The sequence below is a fragment of the Homo sapiens genome, chromosome 17 (assembly GCF_000001405.40).
Source record: "Homo sapiens chromosome 17, GRCh38.p14 Primary Assembly".
NCBI lineage: Eukaryota > Metazoa > Chordata > Mammalia > Primates > Hominidae > Homo > Homo sapiens.
In genome coordinates, this window is record NC_000017.11 from 36,133,569 (window position 1) to 36,159,819 (window position 26,251).

General features: G+C 41.9%; 2 long non-coding RNA genes across 4 annotated transcripts in view; one reads left to right on the top strand and one right to left on the bottom strand.

Moving 5' to 3' along the window:
• Positions 1 to 15,476, bottom strand: part of LOC101927369 (uncharacterized) — a 32,191-nt gene extending 16,715 nt beyond the window's left edge. Inside the window, exons 1-4 of one of the 3 annotated variants that reach the window (XR_007065728.1) lie at positions 15,392 to 15,476; positions 4,088 to 4,174; positions 2,222 to 2,367; positions 1,754 to 1,879 (exon numbers count right to left, since the gene is read on the bottom strand). This is a non-coding gene — a long non-coding RNA (uncharacterized LOC101927369). Of the gene's footprint in view, positions 1 to 1,591; positions 1,880 to 2,221; positions 2,368 to 4,087; positions 4,175 to 15,391 lie in introns of those variants that run through there. The other 2 variants (XR_007065727.1, XR_243796.5) reach the window with 2 other exon arrangements.
• LOC107985055 (uncharacterized) lies at positions 1,583 to 4,568 on the top strand. The gene is made up of 2 exons (XR_001752867.2): positions 1,583 to 1,650; positions 4,057 to 4,568. It is a non-coding gene; the product is annotated as an uncharacterized LOC107985055 (long non-coding RNA).
• Positions 15,477 to 26,251: the final 10,775 nt, after the last annotated feature.

Below are 26,251 nucleotides of genomic sequence, written 5' to 3' on the forward strand. Positions count from 1 at the left end.
GAAAGAGAAAAGAAGATTAAATACAGAAACATATACCCAACAATAAAAAATGAAATATGGGTAGATGGAGAGTATTTCTGAAACTGGTTGTGAGGCTGTAGCTTATTGTAACAAATTCCTGCCTCCGCTTATCCAATCCATGTTCCCTTTGCCTTCAGCCACCCCCTCGATTGATTGGTGCAATTTTTTCTGGTGGAATGACTCAGATTTTTATTCTGGAGGAGATCTGAGCCCTTGATGACCCAACCTGTACAGAGTTATAGACATCTTTCATGAGCTTATACACACTGACACAGTAAAGCAAGGAGAGACCCCAGGAATAATCTGAGTTCCATTCATACTGTTTTTTCCACACTGTCTACATTGTACAGCAGTAGTGCTATTTCCTTTTATAGCTGGGAATAGTTGCTAAGTCAACAGAACATCCACTTTTTAGACTGCTGGCAATTTTCCAGGCTTTAGGCATGCTCTGGTGAAATCGTAAGCAAAGACTGCTCTTTTGTACTGGTCATGGCTACCTTTTACAAGTCCATCAGCTGTTTTTCAATTAACTTCGGTCTTCCTCTCAGGGGAATCAGATGATTAAGTTGATCCTCCCATGATACTCTGTGCTCATGGAAAATCAGAGAGCTGCCTCTGCCCTGCTCATGTTTAGGCATACTGCACCTCCAGTTTTGATATAGGGATGCCTCCTCTCCATGGTTACACTGTGGAACTTATCTATAAGACTTTCTATCATTGAGGGTCCTGCCTAAATAAATAAAAAAAAAAAACCTGGAATCTTCTACTCCAAGACCCCCAAACATGAAGGCAGGGTCTAGTTATACCCCATCCCAGGACTCTGGCCAGTGGGGCAAGAGTCAGGAGACAGCACTCTTACAATTACTTCTCACTCTCTTGCTCCCGATTGCATCTTCTCCCAAAATATTTGTATCTTAAATTTGGATTTTTACACCAGGCGAGGTGGCTCATGCCTGTAATCCCAGCACTTCGGGAGGCCAGGGTGGGTGGATCAGCTGAGGTCAGGAGCTCAAGACTAGCCTGGCCAACATAGTGAAACCCTGTCTTTACTAACAATACAAAAATATTAGCTGGGCATAGTGGTACATGCCTGTAATCCCAGCTACCCGGGAGGCTGAGGCAGGAGAATCGCTTGAACCCGGGAGGCAGAGGTTGCAGTGAGCTGAGATTGCACCACAGCACTCCAGCCTGGGTGACAGAGTGAGATTGCATCTCAAAAAAAAAAAAAAAAAAAAAACTTTTTTTTTTTTTTTGAAATTTTAGGAGCTACACATTTGCCAACCTTATTCTTCGGTCCCATCCTAACCATATTCACCTCCACCAGGGAACATATGGTAGCCACATATCTTATAGCCTGAATGGAGCCCTGGCACAGAGGAAAAAGAATGTTTGAAGAAAGAATTATTTGAATGTTTGAATGTTTGAAAAAGAATTATTACACCTCCACAACAGGCCCCATAGTATTTGTGTCCTTGCAAAACATATTATCTCTGTTCTGGGGTTCTAACATCCCTCTTCATGGTCAGAGAGATACATATTTGTCTTGAATCTGTGTCTTCAGAAGATCTTCCCAGTACATTGCTGTGTGAGTGTTGTGTCTGCAGCCCCAACTGCCTGCCCAAGGAAAAGGTGAGTACAATTGAGTCCCCATTCACTAGGGGCTCCTATTTAATCTCACAGCCTCTATATCCTAGGAAGTTGAATTAACCTGGAGGGAAGATTCTCCACCCACCTGGCATAGGTTGCAGATGGATTTTACACAATGGGAATTGGGGCAGGCAGGGTTGGAACATGGCCCAAAGTGTTGGGGGATCACTCTCCTGTGACCTGACACAGGTTCTATGCTCTGTCTCACAGCCTGAGAGAGAGAAAGCAAATTTTAGTCCACTTTAGCCCTACTGCATTGTCATCAAAGGAGACTTCACTCAGCAACTTGACATTGGGAGGGTGGACGTCCTCTTCCTTTCAGCCCTCCCCACCCCCAGCATACAGCTACAGGCTGCCGGGCTATCCTCTCACAACTCTCAAGGTGGTTGGCGAGTTTAGGCAGCAACTGCCAGTTAATAGCAGAAAGAGAAGCTAGGAAGAGGGAAGTCAGGGGCCCAGTGTATGCATGTGTGTGGGTTGGAGAAGGGTGCAAAGGTGATAAGAGAAGAGAAGAGTGGCATAAGGGCTTATGTTTGGCACCGTTAAGACTTACTGTGAACCTGACATGCAGAGATGGAGGGCCTCAAGAGGGTCTTTCTCTTGGTGGGATGGTTCTCTGATCACCTGTCCACTCCATCAGTGAAGGACGGGTCCCCCACTTTAAATAGTGTGAGATGGCTGAACCCATGACACCTGACACTGAAGAGATGAGATGAATAGCACATAGAATTAGTGTCACCTATACTCACAGCCTGAGGGAGGAGGATACTGCATGCCATGCAGTGACCCACAGAGGTTCCACTTGGGAGCAGGGTGAACCAGCAGAGGCTGTGGAAGGCAGGCTTTGCATTAGGATGGTGCAAGGGTAATCGTGGTTTTTGCCATTAAAAGTACTCCTGCAGGAAGATGTGATTAGCTTTTTTTGTGGGCTGACAGGGACTTGAGACTCATAGGTTAAGAACTGGGTGGGTGCAGCTGATCTGATAATAGAGGAACTAGCCAGGTGGGGAGCCTCTCCCACTGGGTGGTGGAGGGGGGAGCACATTCAAAGAGCAGGAGAACTCAGGGTTAGACCTTTGGACCCTGTGAGAACTTGAAAGCACTTTAAGGCAGCTCTTGAAGTTTTAGGCCTTACAATACAAATGGACCAAATGCCTTTGCCTAGTCTCTTTCTGTGGGAATCCAGCTTTCCCTTGTTGTAGGGATCCCTTTGTTCATAGAAATTATAGGGCAGCTGGCAGATTTTCATGCCTAATAGCTGCCCATGGTACACATTGAAGGCTGATTTGCTTCTAAACAATACTCCAACCAACACTCGTGTGGCAGGGCAATCATGAGTGCAGGGAGAGTTCACATGTGAGGACCTGGTAGGTGGGTAGTAGTGGATGAGGTCACAATGTGGTTGGAACTTGAACAGTATCCAGTTTCATTCCTAAAACAACCTTTTGAAATAGGTAGGCACCTGGACCTGCCAAAAGGAACCTATGGTATTTGTGTCAACATGTGCCCAGGAAACAAATCCTGTCTAGGGGAAAGAGATGCCAAAGCAATGGCTGTGGTCATGTGTGCAAAGTTGTTCCTGAAACAAGTAAAAGCCAGCCCCTGAGATGCTCCCAGGGGAAAATGACACATTGGTCTTCCTTAGGATAACCACAGGGAAGCAGGAATTGTTTTGACTATTCCAGGACTTTTGGCCACCTTATCTGAACTCTTCTGTTGTCCTGGCTTCCCTGAACCATGCTTAGAAGCATGCTAAGCAGTTAAGAAGAGATAGCTTGATCCTGGACATAGCTCAGTTGTCAATACAGCTGTCCAACTTCCATGGACTTTTGGGCTTATTTCAGTCTGACAACAGGGTGGGTGGTTGGCGAGGAGAGAAAGAAAAGGGACCAGCAATCATGGGGCAGCTGCTATGTGTTAAGTGCCCAAATAACAAAAAGACTATGAAAAGGTCACCATCCTCAAGTGCTTTCAGTCTAGTTAGGGAGATAGAGCCATAAAACAAATTAAAAAGCACGTAACAAGTGCACAAAGATCTGAGGAAGCAGTGCAGAGCGAGCAACTTTACCAAGAAGAGTCTTCAGAGAGGAAATAATAATCTGAGCTAGATCTTGACAAAGAGCAGGAGTTAACAGAGAGAAGAGGACAAGCCAGGCAGAGGAAGCAACAGTCACATCACCCTGGATGAGCCAAAGCCATAGAGATTTAGAGCATGGAGGATGTGGCAAGAGACTCCCCATAGGGTAGTGGCAGGGAGTAATCTGCAAGAGGAGGATCAAGACAGAGTCTGAAGCACCTTAAACACCCTGCTTGGATTCGAATGGGGCACCATAGTAGGTGTTTAAGCAGGGAATGGCTCATGATAAATTCTGTATTTTATGTCAACAGCAGTGATGACCGTGCAGGCGGAAGCACAGACCTTTATAAGAGTAGCCAGGTCACTTCTTCAGAAGATTCTTCACCCATCCCCAAGCCCTGGTTGTTCTTCATCCTTGGAGTTACAAGCCTGGAAGAAATAGCCTTATTTTAATTATTCAATTTTGGAAATTTCCACAGGCTAACTTTTAACCAGAAGATCTTGATCCTAAAAACTCTTATCCAGAATAAACTGTTCTGGCATTATCCAATCTGAGTCTTTATACTATGTAAGGTCTCTAAGGGGCCCTTTCTGGACTAGCAGCATCATAAATAGCATAAAAATAATAAGGCCCATGCATGTAGAAGCAATTCTGGGGATTCTAAGAAGACAAAGTCCCTCAAGTCCCTTCCTACATCCTTAGTGGCCTCTGAATTACTGCCCTCTGTCTAAGGGTGAGTGGGGCTTACCCTCTGCTTAGCCTCCACGGGAAGAGAAAGATTGTATTTGTGTTTTCACGCTGCTAATAAAGACATACCTGAGACTGGGTGAATTATTTTAAAAAGGATTAATGGACTCAGTTCCACATGGCTGGGGAGGCCTCACAATTATGGCAGAAGGCGAAAGAGGAGCAAAGGCACATCTTACATGGTGGGAGGCAAGAGAGAATGAGAGCCAAGTGAAAGGGGTTTCCCCTTATAAAACCATCAGATCTCATGAGATATATTCACTAACAGTATGGGGGAAACCACCTCCATGATTCAATTATCTCCCCCTGGGTCCCTCTTACAACATGTGGGAATTATGGGAGCTACAATTCAAGATGAGCTTTGGGTGGGACACAGCCAAACCATATCAAAGATGTAGGGTAGGCTGTAGGGCAGACTGAGGGAGCACCAAAAAGTGGGGGTCAGAGCTGGGTCATAGAGAAGGAATGAAGAAGTCGGCCGGGTGCGGTGGCTCACACCTGTAATCCCAGCACTTTGGGAGGCTGAGGCAAGCAGATCACTTGAGGTCAGGAGTTCCAGACCAGCCTGGCCAACATGGTGAAACCACATCTCTACTAAAAATACAAAAATTAGCCGGGCATGATTGTGCATGCCTGTAGTCCCAGCTACTCAGGAGGCTGAGGCAGGAGAATTGCTTGAACCCAGGAGCAGTAGGTTGCAGTGAGCCAAGATCGCACCACTGTACGCCAGCCTGGGTAACAGGCTGCCACTGCACTCAGCCTGAATACTGATTTTTATTAGTTTTCAGATAGCCCGGGGATCAGCAAACTACAGCCCACAGGCCAAATCCAAGCCACCTCCTGGTTCTGCACATCCCATGAGTTAAACTGATCTTTGCATTTTAAAATGTTTAAAATACAAAGAGACACATATACTAATAATATTTAGTGATATGTAAGATAATATGGAATTCAAATTTTAGTGCTCATAAAGTTTCATTTGAACATAACTACACTCATTAGTTTCCATATTGTCCATGGCTGCTTTCAAGTCACAATGTCAGAGTTAAGGGGTCACAACAAAGACTGAATGGCCTGCAAAGCCATATCTACTTCCTGCCCTTCACAGAAAAAGTTTGCTGACCCCTAGTCTAGATCCAGAAAATGAAAAAAAGATATAATTTCAGAAAACTACATTGTATGATATAACACAAATGGATAAATAGGTTTTCTATCTCCAGTAGCATTTTTTAATCCTTCCCTTCCTCCCACAAAAAAATTTATAATTAAAAAATATAAAAAGTCACTCTGGAAACAAAACAAACAAAAAGTCAGTCAGAGATCAGAAAACAGCCCAAATATGTATCCTGACTTTAATTCAAATATGTCTCAGCCCAAATATACATTCCAAATGATCTTGACCTTAACCCAAGCATCAGATTGAAATATTTTCAGAATATTATCAGGACAAACACACATATACAAAAATGCATATCACTATTGATCAGATGATAGATAGATAGATAGATATACAATATCTCTAGAAGAGAACCCAAGAAATTATAATAGTGGTTCTTCCTGGAAAGATAATGGGGTGGGAGGTATTGGAAGTCAAAATGGGGAGGAAAATTTCTTTTCTTTTCTTTCTTTCTTTCTTTTCTTTTTTTTTTTTTTTTTGAGACCACGTATCACCCTGTTTGCCCAGGCTGGAGTGCAAAGGCACGATCTTGGCTCACTGCTGCCTCCATCTCCTGGGCTCAAGTGATTCTCCCACCTCAGCCTCCTGAGTAGCTGGGACAATAGGCATGCACTACCAAGCCCAGCTAATTTTTTGTATTTTTAGTAGAGATGGGATTTCACCATGTTGCCCAGGCTGGTCTTGAACTCCTGTACTCAAGCAATCTGCCCACCTTGGCCTCCCAAAATGCTGGGATTACAGATGTGAGCCACTGCACCCAGCCAGAAAATTATTACTTTTCATTGTAAACTTTTATTTATATTTAAATTCATACTGTGGGGAAAAGCAAGAGAGATCAGATTGTTACTGTGTCTGTGTAGAAAGAAGTAGACATAGGAGACTCCATTTTGTTCTGTACTAAGAAAAATTCTTCTGCCTTGAGATGCTGTTAATCTATGACCTTACCCCCAACCCCGTGCTCTCTGAAACATGTGCTGTGTCAACTCAGGGTTAAATGGATTAAGGGTGGTGCAAGATGTGCTTTGTTAAACAGATGCTTGAAGGCAGCATGCTCCTTAAGAGTCATCACCACTCCCTAATCTCAAGTACCCAGGGACACAAACACTGCGGAAGGCCGCAGGGACCTCTGCCTAGGAAAGCCAGGTATTGTCCAAGGTTTCTCCCCATGTGATAGTCTGAAATATGGCCTCGTGGGAAGGGAAAGACCTGACCGTCCCCCAGCCGGACACCCGTAAAGGGTCAGTGCTGAGGAGGATTAGTATAAGAGGAAGGCATGCCTCTTGCAGTTGAGACAAGAGGAAGGCATCTGTCTCCTGCCCGTCCCTGGGCAATGGAATGTCTCGGTATAAAACCCGATTGTACGTTCCATCTACTGAGACAGGGAAAAACCGCCTTAGGGCTGGAGGTGGGACATGCGGGCAGCAATACTGCTTTGTAAAGCATTGAGATGTTTGTGTGTATGCATATCTAAAAGCACAGCACTTAATCCTTTACCTTGTCTATGATGCAAAGACCTTTGTTCACATGTTTGTCTGCTGACCCTCTCCCCACTATTGTCTTGTGACCATGACACATCCCCCTCTCGGAGAAACACCCACCCACGAATGATCAATAAATACTAAGGGAACTCAGAGGCTGGCGGGATCCTCCATATGCTGAACGCTGGTTCCCCGGGTCCCCTTATTTCTTTCTCTATACTTTGTCTCTGTGTCTTTTTCTTTTCCAAGTCTCTCGTTCCACCTCACGAGAAACACCCACAGGTGTGGAGGGGCAACCCATCCCTTCACATACATTTTCATTTTTTAAAATCACAAATAGAATCTATAGAGGTCCAAATCCACTTACATCAGGAAGGTCATTATCAAGACAGATTGTGCATGGTACTTTTAAACCAGACAGAATAGTTGTTGTATTTGTATTCCATGTTGTGCAGAGATCTAAAATGGCATGTAAACATCAATTAAATCAATTAAATCTCAACCGAGATTCAAGATGAATCTCAGCTTCGCCACCTTGTTCAGAGATAGCTGAACAAGATGCAACAGCCCCTTCTATACTGATGATCAAGAGAAATCACAGCACCTTCAAAAATTAGACATCTCACAGAAATGGCCCCTTTGCTCTTGGAATGAAAGACGTGAGGGCTGGAAAGGAAGAGGGTGGCCTGGAGGAGTAGGGATCACATTCATTTTACGAAACCCACATGGCTGATGGAACGATGGTTAGGAGGTCACCCCACACCCAACCTCCCATCTCCCAGCCGTGGTCAAAGTTGAGGTCATACATTCCACAAAGTCAGCCTCACAAGATATGAATGCTCCCATCAACACCTGTGCAAAAGGAAAAAAAAGTCCTTACATAAGAGGTGGCTGAAAAATACTGTAAAGAACCAAAAGTAATTATGAAATATGAATTTTCAAGTTTAAAAATGTCCCTCCTATGAGTTAGTAACATGAATTGGGTGAGGATAACCTTCCAGGAAGTCTGGGGTACCCATGTCAGAGACAGAGGCAGGAGGAATGGAGGAAGTGGCTTTCTACCTGTCTTCTCCAGCCAATATCTCACAGGACTTCTGAGCCCTGTGAGGAGAGAAGCAGTCTCCCCATTGCTGTCCAGAACATGATGTGACCAATGGAGTAAATGCTAGTGGGAACACAGCACCATCCTGTCACTTAGACTCTCAGCTTTGGGCTGGAGAGAATGTCCTGCTGCACAGGGCGGCATTCCTATGAGGACACTGGCAAAGGTGAAGTGGGGGCAGTGATGGGTCTCTGGGCTCAAGTGGCTTTGCAGAGAGGCCATATGAGAAGGACTTGAGTGGACTTGTTTGTAAGCACATAAATAAAACCTAAATAAATGGAGATTTATACCACAATGACAGACAGAAAGATTCAATAGTATTAAATGTTCATTTTCCCCAAATTAATCTATAGATTCAACTTATCTCTATCAAAATTATAGTAATCTTCTTTTAAAGATTGAGACTTATTCTAAAATGTATATGGAAATGAAAATGATCTAGACTAGCTAAAACAATCTTAAAAAAGGAAGAACAAACTTAGAGGATTCACATTATCTAATTTCAAGATCTACTATAAAGCTACACTACTCAAGATACTGTGGTATTGTCATAAAGTGTGTAGAGTTATTTCCTTTGTCCAGTGCCAAGTCCAAGGATGGGCCTCTAGCTTCCTGATAATACAAGGCTTTCCACAGGGTTTCCTGGCTGTTCTCTGCACCCTGGAACTACAACACTAGAAGGAAAAGTTCCACAATGGGTCTAGGCTAAAGTCTGATTTCTGAAGATTTCAAGGGGAATACTAGAGTGGCTGATTTCTAGAATATTTTTCCTGAATGAGCCCTTGATGTATCTTTACAAAGTCTGGGTCCTTCTTACTATTAAATGTGCGTGCTGCAATTCTTTTTTTTTTTTTGGAGCCATAGTCTTGCTCTGTCGCCCAGACTGGAGTGCAGTGGCACGATCTCGGCTCACTGAAAGCTCTGCCTCCCGGGTTCACGCCATTCTCCTGCTTCAGCCTCCTGAGTAGCTGGGACTACAGGCACCCGCCACCCAGCCCGGCTAATTTTTTTTTTGTATTTTTAGTACAGACTGGATTTCACCATGTCAGCCAGGATAGTCTTGATCTTCTGACCTCGTGATCCGCCCGCCTTGGCCTCCCAAAGTGCTGCGATTACAGGCGTGAGCCACTGCGCCTGGCCTGCAATTCTTAAAAATCAGCATCCTCCCAACCAGCACCAATTCACTGACAATACAGAGACCTGGCTCTGGACCAGTGCAGGTGCTGTAGACAGAGAACAAGATTCCAGGAAACCACACCTTAAAGATGGAAATCTGGGATTGGTTATCTCTGCAGGTTGTGTTTAAAGGCAGTAACGGCCACATTGCTGGTGGAAAGTAGGATCCCAGGAGTCCAGGTCACAGATTGGCAAGATAGATACTGAAATTATCACCTATAGTTGCTTCGATGAAATGCCTTTTAAAGGGAAGTCTTTAGAATACCCAAGGAGCTCTTAAAATAGAACATTATGGTGGTTACATGGAGTGGGATGCCACCTTCTAACTGCACTGGAGAGTTTACAGAAAACATAAGCTCAGGGCTTTCAATCCTTAGTTGAAGACAAGGTCAGAGAAACAGCTAACATGTATTCTGCCCTAAGGAAGTCTGTTTCCATTTTATCTGAGATGAGAACCAAATTTGACAGGTTGACTATGAATTACAAAGCAAGTTGAATCTCAGCTTTGCCAGGTCTCTCATATTTAAACTAAGGCATGAAGAGGGGAAAGTAGGGCCTTACAGATTGCAATGATTCTGACAAATATGAGCACCTTAACTTCCCAGAGCTGCGCTGACTCTCTCTACCAGCAGTCACAGCCCCAGCTCCCCTGAGGAAGCTGCCACCCCCTTGCCTGAAGTTTCTATAATAATTTCTACTGAATGTCTTGGAGAGCTATAGTCCATTGCCTCTCATTGCCTCAGAATACTGGGAGGACAAGAGTCATAATCCAGCTGCACTCCAAAGGTGAAGTCCAAAATCTGACCTGGGAGGAGATAGAATACATGCTCAAATACTAAAATATTTTGCCAAGTTATATCAGCACTAATCTAAGGAATATGTGTATGTTTTTGGCAATGGCTAACTAGGCATGGTGTTCTTAGGATGGAAGATATGGGCAAACTACTGAGGCCTTTGTGGATCTATACGAGAGAAGGAGAGACAGAGGAAGAAAGAGATGAGGAGGGGAAGGAGGGGAGAGAGAGAGAGACAGAAAGAGAGAAAGCGAGAGAGCAAGAGAGTGCACACAACTTCTTGGCCTAGGGAACAGACATATGTTAGGAACACCATACTGGAAAGGAATGGCTTCTCCTCCCAAAACCAAAACCAACCAGTTTACAGACCAGAACCCTTTGAGTTAGGAGGAAGTCAGCTCCCACTAAGAGAGGACCATGGGACATTGCCACAAGTGAGTACTGTAAAGTTTCCTTCTATGCTTATCTAATGGGACTTGCAATCATTCACTGGTGACATAGCATTGGAGAGAGGGAACTACCCAGGCTCTGAGGCAATGACTGGACAGTGCTCTGATCTGACACTGATATTTGGGAACTAAAATATCCCTGCATTGATCAGAGTGCAGGCTTTTCGAAGTCAGGTGTTGAATGGAGTTTTGGCTTCTGCCCATTTCACAGTGAGCCCAGTGGTTCCACAAACTCTTCCTGTGGTCACTTTCTCAGGTCTTGAGTGCTTAGTTGTAATTGTTATCTTAAACACTGGGAAAAACTTCACATTTGCTCCCTGATGGATGGGGTGAGGGCTATTATGATAGAATACGTCAAGAGGAACCCCCTTGGAACTATCCCACCACTATGACCAAAAGAGTAATTTAAAAGTAATTTAATAGTATTTAATAGTAATTTAAATAGTAATTTAAAAGTAATGCTGCTGTCTTAATCTATTTAGGCTGCTGTAATAAAATACCATAAACTGGGTCATTTATAAACAACAGAAATTTATTTCTCACAGTTCTGGAGGCTGGGAAGTCCAAGATCAAGGTGGCAGCAGATTCAGTATCTGGTGAGGGCCTGATTCCTCATTCATAGATGGCAGTTTCTTGCTGTGTCTTCATGTGGTGAAAGGATCAAACAACCTCCCTAGGGTTTCTTTTATAAAGGCACTAATCCCATTCATGAGGTCTCTGCCCCTAATTCCTAATCACCTCCCAAAGGGCCCAGCTTGCAACACCACTATCCTGGGGGTTAGGATTTCATCTTATGGATTTGGGAAGGACACAAACATTCACCTCATAGTAACCAATCCCGGGGAATCACTGAAATTTCTGTTACCATCAAGTTTGCACTTGCATCTGATTAGCTGTGCAGAAGAGATAACATGGCCGGCCTGAGAATATAGTCCTTAGAAAGGCCTGCTTGCAAAGTTGGCCCTTGGCTGACATCTGGGAGCTTGAATGTTAAACAGTTCTCTACACTGATACAAAATTTTCCCTAAATGACAAGAGTGCCTCACTGTGCCTAAACTTTTTGTGCAAACAGTATGCTTTATGCTGAATACATGTTTTACTTCTGGGAGTCTGGAATTTTGGCACATGCTGGGTAGAAGGAGTGCCTATACGACAGGCCTCCAGTAAAAATCTTCAACTCCTAGGCTCAGGCAAACTTTCCTGGTGAACAATATTTCACATGGGCTGTCACAACTCGATGCATAAGAAATTAAGTTATTACTGTGTGACTGTACAGGGAGGGGACTTTTGGAAGCTTACACCTAGTTTCCTCCAGACTTTGCCCATATACCTTTTCCCTTCGTGGATTTTGTTTTGTATCCTTCACTGTAATAAATCAGAACCATGAATATGACTATATGCTGAGTCCTGTGAGTCCTCCTAGCAAAACTTTGAGCCTAAAAATGTCTTGGGAACCTTTAACACAGTAGGTATTTCATCCTGCTGCCTGTCTGCAGAAATATGAGGGCCAACAGTTTTCTAAAGATTTTGTCTTAGTCCCTCATAGTGTGAGCAGTAGTGCTTTTAACAATACAATTCTTTTAAGAACCTCAAAGGTTTCCTGTGAAACTGGTTCAGATCTCCATGACCCAAAAGTCTCTAGCACAATTCTTTTGTGAACAGGTCTTTCTCTTCTTTGAGAGTTGCAGGCATCTGTTGGACAAGAACCCTAAAATTTTTAGGAGCCATTTTGTCTAGCTCAAAGTATCTACTAAGCACGACTTTCAATCTTACAGAGCTCTTAACAGAGTGTCCTACAGCCATACCTTTTATTAGACTTTTACCACTGAGACTATATATTACTTTGAGTTTCCTTTAATGGCTTGAGAGACTACAGGTGAGAAATAATTTAATTTTCCCACTTAGAAATCCCCAGCTTTTCTATAATCTAATTTCTGCTTGAAAATGGAGCCACCTTTCTCTAACTCATTTATTTCTGTCTTAGTTCATTCTGGCTTTTATAACAAAATACCATAGCTTATAAATAACAGGAATTTATTTCTCACCATTCTGGAGAATGGAAAGTCCAAGATCAGGGTGTCAGCATGGCCAGGTTCTGGTGAAGGCCCTCCTCTGAGTTGCAGAATCCCAACTTGTTGCTGCAACCTCACATGGTAGAACTGGTGAACTAGCTCCCTTGGGCCTATTTTATAAGGACACTAATTCCATTCATAAGGGCTGCATTATCATGATCTATTCACCTCCACAACCCCTCCATCATCTCCTAATACAATCACATTGGTGATTTGGTTTCAACATATGAATTTGGGGGGAACACAAACATGCAATGGACATAGCATGTGGAATGATAGACAGTAGAGACTTGGGACAGTGGTGGAGGGTAGGGTAGGACAAGGTAGATGATGAGGAATTACTTAATGGGTACAATGTACATTATCCAGGTACCCTGACTTCACCACTACACAATCTATGCATGTAACTAAATTACACTTGTACCCCATACATTCATACGAAAAAAGGAGAATAAGGCCAACCCAGCTCATTTTCTCCAGCCTAGGTGACAAGGGCAAAACTCTGTCTCAAAAAAAAAAAAAAAAAAAAAAAAAAAAAAAACAAGAAGAAGAAGAAATCTTTGCCTATCCCAAGATCATGAAACTATTTCTACAATATCTTCTAAAAGCTTTATTGTTTCTTCTTTCACATTAAGTCCATGATCCATTTGGAAGAGATTTCTGTGTGTGGTGTGGGGTAGGAGTCAAGGTTCCTTTTTGTTTACATGAATAAGCCAATCAAGCCAGCTACCTTTACTGAAAAAGCATTCTTTCCCTCTTTGAACTACAGCGGCTCCTTTGTCATAAATTATGAGATGGTGTGTTTTTGTTACACTGATCTATTTGGTATCTTGCACTGCTGTTCCATTTACTGCCACATTATAATAAATCCTGATAAATGGTAGCTTAAGTCCCTCAACTTTGTTTAAGACTGTCTTGATTATTCTTGCCTTTTGGAATTTTCATATAAGTTTTAGAATCAGTTTATCAATTTTCATGAAAAATCCTTCTAAGATTTTGACTGAGATTGTATTAAATTTATTGTTGAATTTGGGGAAAACTGACAGCTTTATAATAATGAATCTTCTAATCCACAAACACGGCACATCCCTCCATTTATTAAGGTACCTACAAATTTTTGTTTGTAATATCGTGTAATTTTCTGCACAAGATTTGTTAGATTTATCTCTAGGTAATTGATGGTTTTGACGATATCTTAAAGGGCATTTGAAAATGTTATTTTCTATATGTAATACTTGAAAGCTGTTAATTGGGTCTCTCCTCTGGTCAGGCATCTGTGTGCACCAATGCAGAAAAGACGGGGACTACAAGGAAGGAAAATGTTGCATCAGGAAGGGCTGCTGGCACATCTTTGTTCCCCCTCCCCAAAACCTCATCCCCAAGCAGGTGAGTCCTGACTCTCCCCACCTGGCCTGACCGAGACTGATTAAAGATTTGGTGATACCTGGATTTTCACAGTAGTGCGGTCACCCACAAATGTGACAGAAATGTCCCCAAAGGCCTGAGGGCTCCTTCTGCTCTCACCCTTCCTGAGGGAAGGGCTGATCCTAAGACCCATTACCCCCACATTTTCAAGTATGAGAATCCTGAAAAGAAAAATCATTTCATATTTCCCAAGGAATAGATATTCATTATAGTGAAGTCAGATATATAGAACAAAGAGATGGTAAAACTTGCTCATAATCTCATTACCAGCAGATAAATATAGTTACATGTTTTGTCACGTCCTTTCATACTTTGATCCATGGGGTGTGTGTGCAAAATAATCAAGGCATCACACTCTACATAATTTTGGACCTCTTCTTTTTTTTTTCACTCACCAATATACAGTAAACAGCTTTCCCTGTCAGTGGATGTATTTCTACAATTTCATTTTCCCCCCAAGGTTTCACATCATTCTCACCATGTAGATATACCATATTTTATTTACTAATTCTTGACCAATAGATATTTAGACTTCAAAAGATTCCTTAGAATGAAATCTTTCCATGCACAGTTGATTGTTTCATCAGGAAATATTCTTTGAAGTGTTTCTAGGTGAAAATGCATGCATTTTTTACATTTTAATTTTATTTAATTTTTTAGAGATCCCTAAAAAATTAGGAATCCCTGTTGCCTAGGCTGGTCTCAAATTCCTGGGCTGAAGCTATCCTCCCACCTCAGCCTCCTAAGTAGCTGGGATTGCAGACACATGCCACTGTGCCTGGCCAGCATGCACGCTTTTTAAACTCCAAAAATACATTGCCAAATTGCTGTTACGAGGGTACATTTTTTTATGCCAAAAAGTTTTGATCAACCTCAAAATACTGGCTATAGTTTAATTTTTCACTATTTGACAGTAGGTGTAATTTCATCTGAGTTTACAATTTTAAGTCACATACATTAAAAAAAAAAAAAAACCTCAGTTACGTTTGTGAAATATTTACTTGTTTGGAGGAATGTTTCAGCAATCTTTTGTAATAAGTTGGAATCCCCCAGAGTGGGAAAAGGATGAATGAAACACATATTTAGCACCCGCTTTGTTTCAGATCTTTTCAAATACATTTTTTTTTAATCTTGAGAGCTTTTTATGATGTGTGGATTTATAGCACCCACATTTTACAGATGAGGAAACTGAGAAATAAACAAAATGTCTTTTTCTTTTGCTTACCTTACCATGATTCCTCTCCACTCTCTCCTTTAAGTCACTGGGCTTATATTGCAAATGGTGATCCCAGGAGGCCACTGTAGCTAATGGTGTCCCCCAGTTTGCAATAAAGATTTCTGTCATCTCCCTCTCCCGCTGGGTTCAGAAACAAAGCCTGGGATGGCGGCAGGCCCATTGCGCCATCTACTGGCAATCACTGTGCAGTGCATGACCTTCCCACTGCAGTACTGGCTGGAGCAGATGAGGTGGAAATATCTGTAAATTTCACATCTGCATTTACTCTTCATAACAGCTTTCTGAAGTAAATATTGTATCCTTATTTCAAATGCATGGAAACTGGGTCTTTGAGAGATGAAATGTGTCCCACATCAAGCAGTTGGTAAATGGCAAAGCTGATCTCTTTGCCACCAAAGCCAGAACACTTTTCAGCACAGCATGCTGCCTCCCCGAATGAAGTAATCATGAGGAGCTGCTGTCCACATGCTTCTGCCTTTTCCTCCAAACCACTCAAACTATAAGATAACAGCAAAAGAAATACCCAGCGTCTTTGCACAGAGCGGCCACAAATGCTTTCTGCTGTGGCAGCTGCTGACTCATCCACAGGACCGTTTCTTCCACCTCAGACCCATGCGTTCCTGCTCTCTGCCAAGTCCGAACTGGAGAAAACAAATTCTGTCCCAGTGGGGTTTCCCATCTTTGGCTGGCTGGCTGGACTTCCTCCACAACCACTCTCTCGCCTTCTAAGCAGGAGCTGGGTGAGACATGAGATCATGGGGGCATCCGACAGCGACAGCCATTTCTGGGGCCGTCATCATAGTCCAAGCCCCACCGAGACTGGCAGCAGTATAGCATTGTGAGGGGGGCTGAAGTCAGATAGACTCGATTCAAACCCTGCACCCTCCTTTTCCTAGTTCTGTGGCTTTGTGCAAGTGAATCAAACTCCCAGAGCCTCTTTCATTCTAAAATGGAGACAATAGTTTCTACTTGTAGGGTTGTTCTGAGACTTGAATAAGGTTGTACAATCACCTAGCTCTTAGTGCTTATTTATTGAGTACATAGCAAGTGCTCGATAAATGGTAGTGTGAAGTTGGCACTAGGTATGTACCTTCTCTGAACCTCCCTTGGTCAGTAAGGAACATTAGCATCGTGTGGGGGTTAAGATCCTGAGGTCTGGAGTCAGACAGACATCCTTTGGATCTGGACTCTGCCACTTGCTAGCCATGGGACCATCTTGTGGCCTTGTGTCTCCTCTCTGTGGACCTCAAAACGAGTCTTTATTCAAAGCCCAGGGCCCTGCCTAATATTAAGGCTTTAGATACATATTTTCAAATTGCCTCATGAGGGCCCTTTTAAAACATCAGAAATGTTAAATTACTCATAGGATAGCTAAATTTGTAGTAATAAAGTATCTGCATACATGCCTAATGGATTCAGTAATGCCACTAAATAGGAGTTTGTGTTATTTACAGCAGTCTCTACTTATATTTGAAAAGAATAAAACATCACTTATTAATTTTACAGACAATGTGTGGGTTACATATGGACTTGTGAATCTCATGCATTACCCGTGTTGTCCCCCAGATACATACAGTCACTGTGGGAACAAACACCACCCTGAGTACCTGCTGCTTGCTAGGGATTTTCATGGAGGTTATGGCATTTAAACCTGAAACAGGGCCAGGCATGGTGGCTCATGCCTGTAATCCCAGCATTTTGGGAGGCTAAGGTGGGTGGACCAGTTGAGCCCAGGAGTTCAAGCCCAGGCTGGCCAACATGGTGAAACTCTATCTCTACCAAAAATACAAAAATTAGCTGGGTGTGGTGGCATATGCCTGTAATCCCAGCTACCCGGGAGGCTGAGGAATGATAATCGCTTCAACTCAGGAGGCAGAGGCTGCAGTGAGCTGAGATCACACCACTGCACTCCAGCCTGGGCAACAGAGCTACACTCCATCTCAAAACAAAGCAAAGCAAAACAAGAAAAGACAAGAAAAGAAAACCTAAAACAACTCTGCAGAATAATTGTTATTATCACCATTTTATACACGTGGAAACAGGCTCCGAGGGGCTCAATGAATTTCCCAGAGTTCTACAGATAATAAGGGGCAGAGCCAAGATCCTGACCCTCATCTGTCTGTGTAGCATGAGAGAAATATCCACCGTGGACTGTATTTGAAAATATTCACAGATACTAGGTTAATGCTATATAAAGTATATTATACCTAACCTTTTATAACATATTTTTTCATTTAACAATAATTGTGAATAGATACTTCTATCAACCTACAAATCTACCTACTTTATCCTTTTAAAGGACTATGTCATACTCCATTAAATGAATTTACTATAATCTATTTAACCAACATTCCTTTAGTGAACATTTTAATGGTTTGCAATTTTTTGTCCTTGCATATAATGCTGAAATGAACTGGATCATATGCAAGTATTTTTGTACACCTCTAGAAGTGATTTTTTAAAATTCCTAAGAGTGAGATGATAAAATTAGTTACAAACATTTACTAACACATACTACCAAATCAGGCAGCATAATAAAAGATCATCAAATTTTTATTCATTCACTTAGCAAATACTTATGTCATGCTTGTGCTGTGCTAGGTACTGCTCCCAGAGCTTGACTCCTCATGACATCCTGAGATGAGAACTTTAATGATTCTGTTTTATACATAAGAAGACTGTGGCTCAGAGAGACAAAGTAACTTGGCAGAAGTTAGACAGAAAATAGCTGGTTTGGAAACCAGGGTCTGCAGCACCCAGGCACTTGATGACTATGTTGTCCTTCCTGATTTATTAAGGCTTTATTCCCAGAATTACTCAAATCCTAAAGAATAAATCTTATTTGATGGGAGTATCAAATGAGATTTTAAGGGGGAAAATATTAACATTAACATTATATGTTTTAAAATAAGATTTTTTATTTTTCCAGAAAAAAATCTTAAAAATTAAATCATTTGTTTCATTTTTTTAAAAGGAAACTATAAACCCAATATTTTAAGAAACGATTTCATTCACTCAACACTTTTGAGCTGAGTCTCTCCTCTCATCAGTTCTGTGTGAGCAGAAAAGAGGGAGGCTTAGGGGCTTAGGGGATTAGGGGTCATGGTCGCTGGGAAATGCAACAGAAACCTGTCAGGGCTGCTAGAACCTAGAAGAGTTAGCCACAGTAAACCGGCTGGTGCATATCCTTACAGAACTTTTATTTTGTAAGTGTGTATGCAAACTAGCTACTACATTACATTTTACATACATTAATAATCTCCCTTTATTTTTTTACCTAATGTATATTTTTCCATGACCATGAATGTATTTTTATAACTTTTTGTTTTAGGTTTTAAGGCATTTCATTGCTAAGTTGCATCTCCTAGATTTGGGAAAGAATCTAAAAAACACATATTTGGTGCATTCTGTGTGCTCTGCCCAGTCACACACATTATTCTATTTAACCTTCTGATGACCTAGGTATCTTCACCACTCTTCTAGATTGTTGCTCCCAGCAGTCATGTGACTCGTCTAAGGCCATGTTGCTACAGGTGGCTTGCAATCCAGGTTGGCTGAACTTCCAACTACATTCTCTTTGCTGTGCACTGTCCAAAAGTAGGGAGAGTTTCCTGCCTCTGGAATTCTCTATGTACAGGTGCCACCAGTTGTTTTCTTTGTGCACAGAAGAAAGTAAAACCCAGAGGCCACCATTAGTGATGGAGATGCATTGTCAGGAGAGGACAGAAGATGGGTAGAAGTTGACAGAGCTCTCATTTCTCCCACATGGGCTTGTACCATATGCAAATGGTTTCATAAGCATCTGGTAACAGTGTGTTCAGCCACAAGAGGGAGACCAAATTGGAGCTGGAGATCCTTCTTCTCATGCCTCACCGTACTTTTGACTTCCCGAAAAAGAGGATTCGAGTGGCTCATTTTGGCATCTTGCAGTATAGTGTATTTCCACTGGGCAGGGAGTCGCAGTCTCTCTTATGCTCAGGCTGGCCACAGCGGCTTTCCTGGATATGTCTTTGTCCTGGTTCAATCCTGGGGCGGGGGAGCAGTGTTGCCCGCACCTTCCTAACAGAGCCAGCCTCCCAAGTAGAGCAGCTGAAGAGGGAAAACAGTCACTGCGGGCTGCAAAACTCATTGTCTGGAGCAACATCTGGGGGCTGGGGCAGGTCCTCGGCCCACCATGGTGATGAAAAGTGCTCAAATCATCAAAGAGTAAAAATTCTACACCAAAACCCACACTTTCCACAATAGTCATGTGGGTTTCTCCTCCTAGCCTGAGGGCATTTCTTGGGTCCTCCTTTCTGTGCATGATTCTCCAGCTCCAGGACAGCCCATCTCCAGCACACTCTGGACAGGTTATGCCTGATTCTGCCTGACATGCTCCAGGCTTAAGAAACTGGCTCCTGTGAGCCTGGGCTGCCACCCATCTCCCTGGCTCTGGGTTCCAACCCTGGCTTCCTGGGGTGCTTGTGGCATGGGATGGAGTTAATGGTCAGCCTGGGAGTTGGAACTTCCACATTGTGTTAGCCTTTAAAACATCAGTGTCAGCCAGGAACTCAGAAAAGATAAAGACCCCAGATTGCCAAAAGCCCCTTCTCTTAAAGGGATGAGTCAAAGGCTTTCTTCCTTTCCCACATCCCAGGCAGGATTCATCTCTACCCTATTCCCAGAATAAACAGAGTCCCATTAGGTTTTCATGCCTACAATTGTCCCCAGTTTGTACTAAAGAGTAGTTGGTTCCAGACAGGAAAACCATAGCCTCAGCTCCATAGAGGGTGAGAAATGTGTGTATAAACAGCCTGCATTCGAATGCAGAAAGTCATGGCAGTCTGCATGAAGACCACCACTAGTTCAAATGATGCTTGTGTGAGAATTAGAGAAAGGCCCCCTTCCAGTAGACAGAGTCCCATGGGTAAACAGACAGCACCTTTATCCTATTTAGGAAAAGTGTCCCTCCCTCTAGGTGCAGGCAGTGCCAGGGTGGAGCACTTCAGAAATGACACTGGAGATGGATGATGGTCCCACTCATCCTGGCCACCAGACATAGTTGTTCAGTGCACAACCTGGAAAATCATACGTGTCAGCCCTGGTTAGAGTGGATGAGGTGAAAGTATGGGGACTTCTTACACTTGTGCTTTCATTTCCTGTTACATCTTAGTTATAATGTTATTCTCATTGCACAGACATGGAAATTACGGCCCAGAAGGTGAAGTGATCTGTTACAAAATAAACGGCAAGGCTGGTCTCTTCAACTCAAATCCAGACCACTTTCCACCATGCCATAAATGCCTCCTTGCCTGAAGCACTTTTAAAGAGCCACCTTCTGCCCACGTCTGCATCCTTTAGTTTTCTCAAGGCACAAAACCTTTAAGAACCACCCACCCAGCATCTTTGCATATCGTGTGTCCTGGTATGGCAGCTGCTGACCACGCCCTGAGTCATGCTCATGGCCAAGCTCCCCACTCGGGACCATTTCTGTCCGTGCAGACTCATCTTTTCCTGTTCTTTGCAAAGCCCAGCTAGAGCAAGCAAATTCTTCCCAATGGGTTTTTCCCATCTCTGGTTGCTTGGCTGGCTGGGCTTCCTCTACAAACCCCCTTCCTTTCCCCTAAGCAGGGCCCGGTGTCCCCATCCTGCGGAGTTGAGGTCATGAGGGCATCTGACCAGGAGTAGCTATTCCTGGTGCTATTGTCATTGGTCATTGTCCTGTTTCATGTGTGAACATGGCTGCTGGCTCTACAGAGATTTGGCAGGTAGCAAGGACGTTTCTTTTCAAATCTTCCTTTGGAAGTCAGACTTGGTGAGGATCGTATGCCCACCTTTTCCTAGCTCTGTGGTGCCAGGCAAAGTCTCAGTTTCTGCAAATTGGGGTTAAGAATTCCTACCTCACAGTGGTCTTTTGATAAATAAATAAGATCTTAAGTGAAAATTATTCCACTAGAAATTGCACAGTCACTTTGGTCTTCATCCTGGAGGTCCACTGACAAGCCTCATGCAAACCTGTGGCCCTGTTCATCTTAAGGTGTTTTTATTCATACTTTCAAATGGCCTCAGGAAGACCTTTTATAAAGTAAAAATGTTAGGCAGCCACATGATATCCATTGACCCAGTGAGGCTGTTTTACTGGATATGAGGGGTTTGACCCAGCACTTTGGGGGGCTGAGACAGGCGGATCACTTGAGGCCAGGAGCTGGAGACCCGCCTGGCCAACATGGTGAAACCCCATCTCTATTAAAAACACCAAAAAAATTACCTGGGCATGGTGGCACATGCCTGTAATCCCAGCTACTTGGGAGACTGAGGCACAAGAATCGCTTGAACCCGGGAGTCAGAGGTTGCAGTGAGCCAAGCCGAGATGGCGCCACTGCACTCCAGCCTGGGCAACAGAGTGAGACTCTGTCTCAGGGGAAAAAAAAGGGTGGGGGGAGGGTTTGAAAAAATAGTAGCATGTAGTTATGTTTCTACAATATTTGATATATATAAGGATTTACCAACCTCATGCATTAGCTGCTATCCCCTACAGCAGTTGCTGTAGGAAAAAAAATCAAGTTCTGAGCTCCTACTGTTTGCCAGGCATATTCTGAGATGATCACGTTGAAATCTCAGAGTTACCCTGCAGAGTAGTCAGGGTATCACTGCCTGACAGATGAAGAAGCTGAGGCTTCCAGCAGTTAAATGACTTACCCCAGGCCACATAGATAATGAGTGGGAGAGCCCAGGTCTGTCTGTGAGGTATAATGAAATTAGCATAAACCCTCCACATTGGCGCCACTTGCATAAATTAACATATTCTCTCACAGAAAGTATTTTATTGGGCATAACATTTTATATGTTTTACCATTTAACATTAGTTATGGATCTTCCCACGTCACATAAATATGTCTCATTCTTTTTCGATAATGTGATTACTAATGAATGGATTTACTATCATTCATTTAATCAATACTCCTTTTGATGGCTATTTTAATTGTCTGTTTATTCGTTTTGCACAGATTGATGTAATGAACATGAATTTATAGGAATATTTTTGTCTGCCTGTGAAAATGTTTGCTGGACAATAAATTCCTAGGAGTAAAATAAGGTCAAAGATTATAAATACAGTATTTATTTTCATAAATATTGCCAAGTCCGCCACAAATGTTTAAATCACTAATGGTTTCAGATTATTGTATTTAATGAGTAAACACTTTTATAGGGTTTACTTTTATAAACAATTTTATTTGCCAGATATTATTCTAAGTGCTTTACAAAATTAACTTTTTCAATTTTTAATATAACCCTGAGATGTATATTATGATTATCCCCATTCTACAGATAAGAACACTGAGAAGTTAATTAACTTACCACATATCTAGGAAATGACAAGGCTAGTTGCACAGCCAGGCAGTCTGGCTCCTGAGTCCACATTTTAGACAACACTATTCCTCCTGGTTCTTTTGAGGCATTACTACTGGAACTATCCTAATACTCATAAATAAACATTTCTTTTGGGGAGGGTCAAATAAAATTTTAAACAGAAAAGTGTTTCACCAACTGTCAAGCTCATAAAGTTGTACGTTATACACTTTTTTCATGATGCCCACAGATAATTTATTAATGATATCATCTATTTTAAAAGACATATATAAAACTCAACCCTTAAGAAAGGACTCCTATTAGTGTTCCCCACAGGCACCCTCCTCAGTCTTACACCTTTCCACCCCCCAAAACAAATCATTCAGCATATTTATTTCATACTGTAATATAGGATATAGCTACTTTTTAGATTTTCTTATATTATTAACATTGATCATACAAACATGGAATAGAAATTCTTTACGTTTTATCTGGATTTAAGGTGCTACATAATGGAATATATTTCTATCAAGCCATACACTTTGGAGATAATGAAATCAATTGTGTTCTAGCTTAAACATTATGGGAATTTCAGAACTGCAACATAACAGATAATCCTCAGATGAAAACTAAATCTCTCCTCTGGTCAGGCTTCTGTGTGCATCAGTGAAGAGAAGACGGGGACTGTGGAAGGGAAAACAGTGAGTCAGGAAGGACTGTGGCCACATCTGTTCCCCGGACCCTCAGGTAGTTAAATCCTGACCTCCTCTACCCCAGACTGTCCTGGGGAATGGCCAACACTGGCCTTTCACAACTGTGTGTTACTAGAAATGCAACAGAAACCCAGCTGAATCCCCAGGGTTTCCCTTCTGCCCTTCTCAATGGAAAGATCTGTCCCAGGACCATTTATTCCAACATTTTCAATTATGAGAAATCTGGGAAGATAAAGTTATTTTCACATTTCTCAAGAAATACATATTTATTCATACTCATTACAGGAAAGTCAGAATCTACAGAAAACCAAGAAGATTTTTAAAAATCCATGATACCACCATCAAAAGAGCCACACTTAGTATGTTGGTCCACAGGTTTCCTAGCACCCTTTTCTGTTGGTGTATGCACAAAATACACAATCACATTCTGTCTACATTTTACAGTTTGCCATTTTTTGATTAACACTATATATTGAACAATTTTTAAGACCTGCAACGTATGTCGACAACATTATTTCAAAATAATATATTTACAAATAAACGCACACACAAACTGTCTGTCTTATATACAACATGTCTTACTTTCTAATTCTCCACTCTGGAAGATTTAGGTTTTTCTAACTTTTTCTTAATATACTCACCAGGAGTCAGTAAACTTTTTTTATAAAAGGCCAAAGGGTAGATATTTTAAACTCTGCAGGCCATAGATTTCTGGTGCAACACTTAACTCTGCTGTTGCAGGGAAAGAAGCCATACACAATTTGTAAATGAATGGGCATGACTGTGTTCTGATAAACTTTACAAAAACAGGTGGTGGACTAGATGCAGCCTGCTCCTCTGGACATGGTTTGCCAGCCCCTGACATATACCACTACAGAGGATGCTGTTAGAATGAAATCTCTTTACACATCTCTGATCATCTCCTTAGGACTAATTGCTGGACATGACATGATGGTAGCTGTGGGTCAAAGGGCATGCACGCTCTGGGATGTACATTGCCAGATTGCTCATGATCAGCCTTTCTCATGTCAAAATGTTTTGTGACCACCAGAAGGCTGGTTCTGCTTTTATTATCCATTGACTGAGGAATAGAAATGACATGGCATGTATGCAGGATATTTAACTATCGTATAGATAATCCTTGTGCACAAGTGCATTCTATATTCTTTCCCAATAAGTCTACATCTGCCAGAGTTGAAATAAAAGAAAACAAAACAAACCTATTTAGCACCTTCTGTGTAGCAGGTCCATTCGTGTATGTTGTATTTCATTCTCAGAATTCTTATGACCTAGGCATTTTAAAATTTTTTTTAAAAATAGTTGACAAGGATTGTATATATTTAATGCATACAATGTGATGATTTCATATATGTATATATTGTGTACTAATTATCACAATCAAATTTATTACATCCATTACCACCTATGCTGTACATTAAATCTCCAGAATTTGTTCATCTTATAACTGAAAGTTTACACCCTTTGATTAATAGCTTCCCATTTTCCCCACCTCCAGCCCTTGGCAACCACCATTCTACTATCTGTTTTTATGAGTTTGACTCTCTTAGATCCCACATATAAGTGAGATCATACAAAACTTGTCTTTCGGTGTCTGGCTTATTTCACTTAGCGTAATGTCCTCCAGGTTTATCCAGGACAGGAGTTTCTTCTTTTGAATGGCTAAGAGTCCATTGTTTATATATATTTTATTTATCCATTCATCTGTTGCTGGACACTTGGGCTGTTTCCATATCTTGGGTATTGTGAATAGTGTTGTAATAAACATGGGGCGCAGATCTCTCTTCAAGGTTCTAACCTGATTGCTGAATGGTATGCTTAGTTCTGCTTCTAATTTTTTGAGGAACCTCCATACTGTTTTCTGTAAAGGTTATACCACTTTACATTCCAACCAACAGTGTACAAGGGTTCTCTTTCCTCTATGCTTTCGCCAACACTTGTTATCTCTTGTCGTTTTTTTATAAGAGCCGTCCTATCCTATGAGGCAATATCTCACTGTGGTTTTGATTTGCATTTCTGTGATGATTAGTGGTGTTGAACACCTTTTCATATGCTGTCTGGCCATTTGTATATCTTCTTTGGGGAAAAAAGTCCATTGGGGTCCTTTGCCTATTTTTAATTGGGTTATTCATGTATTTATTAATTTTTGCTATTGAGTTGTGTGAATTCCTTATATTTTTTCAAATAACCCCTTATCAAATATATGGGTCGCAAATATTTTCTTCCATCCCGTAGGTTGCCTTTTCATTTTGTCATGGTTTCCTTTGCTGTGTAAAACCTTTTAAGATTGATGTAGTCCCATTTATTTATTTTCACTTTTGTTGCCTGTGCTTTGGTGTTACATCAAAAAAAAATTGCCAATTATGACCAATGTCGAGGAGATTTTTCCCTATGTGTACTTCCAGGATTTACATGGTTTCAGATATTACATTTAAATCTTTAATCCGTTTTGAGCTAATTTTCTGTATATGATGTAAAACAAGTGTGCAATTTCATTCTTTTTCACGCACTTTCCCCAACACTATTCATTGAAGACAGTTTTCTTTCTACATTGTGCTTTTTTTTTTTTTTTTACAGTACAGTGAAAGCAAGTCTATTAAGAAAGTAAAGGAATAAAAGAATCTACATTGCATATCCTTGATGGCCTTGTCAAAGATCTGTTGACCATATATGCACGGGGTTATTTCTGGGTGAGCTTGGCATTTTTATCTACCTCATTCTACCGATGAGGAGGCCGAGTCTCAAAGAGTTCACAGACCTGCCTAAGGTCACTCAGCTAGAGGTGATA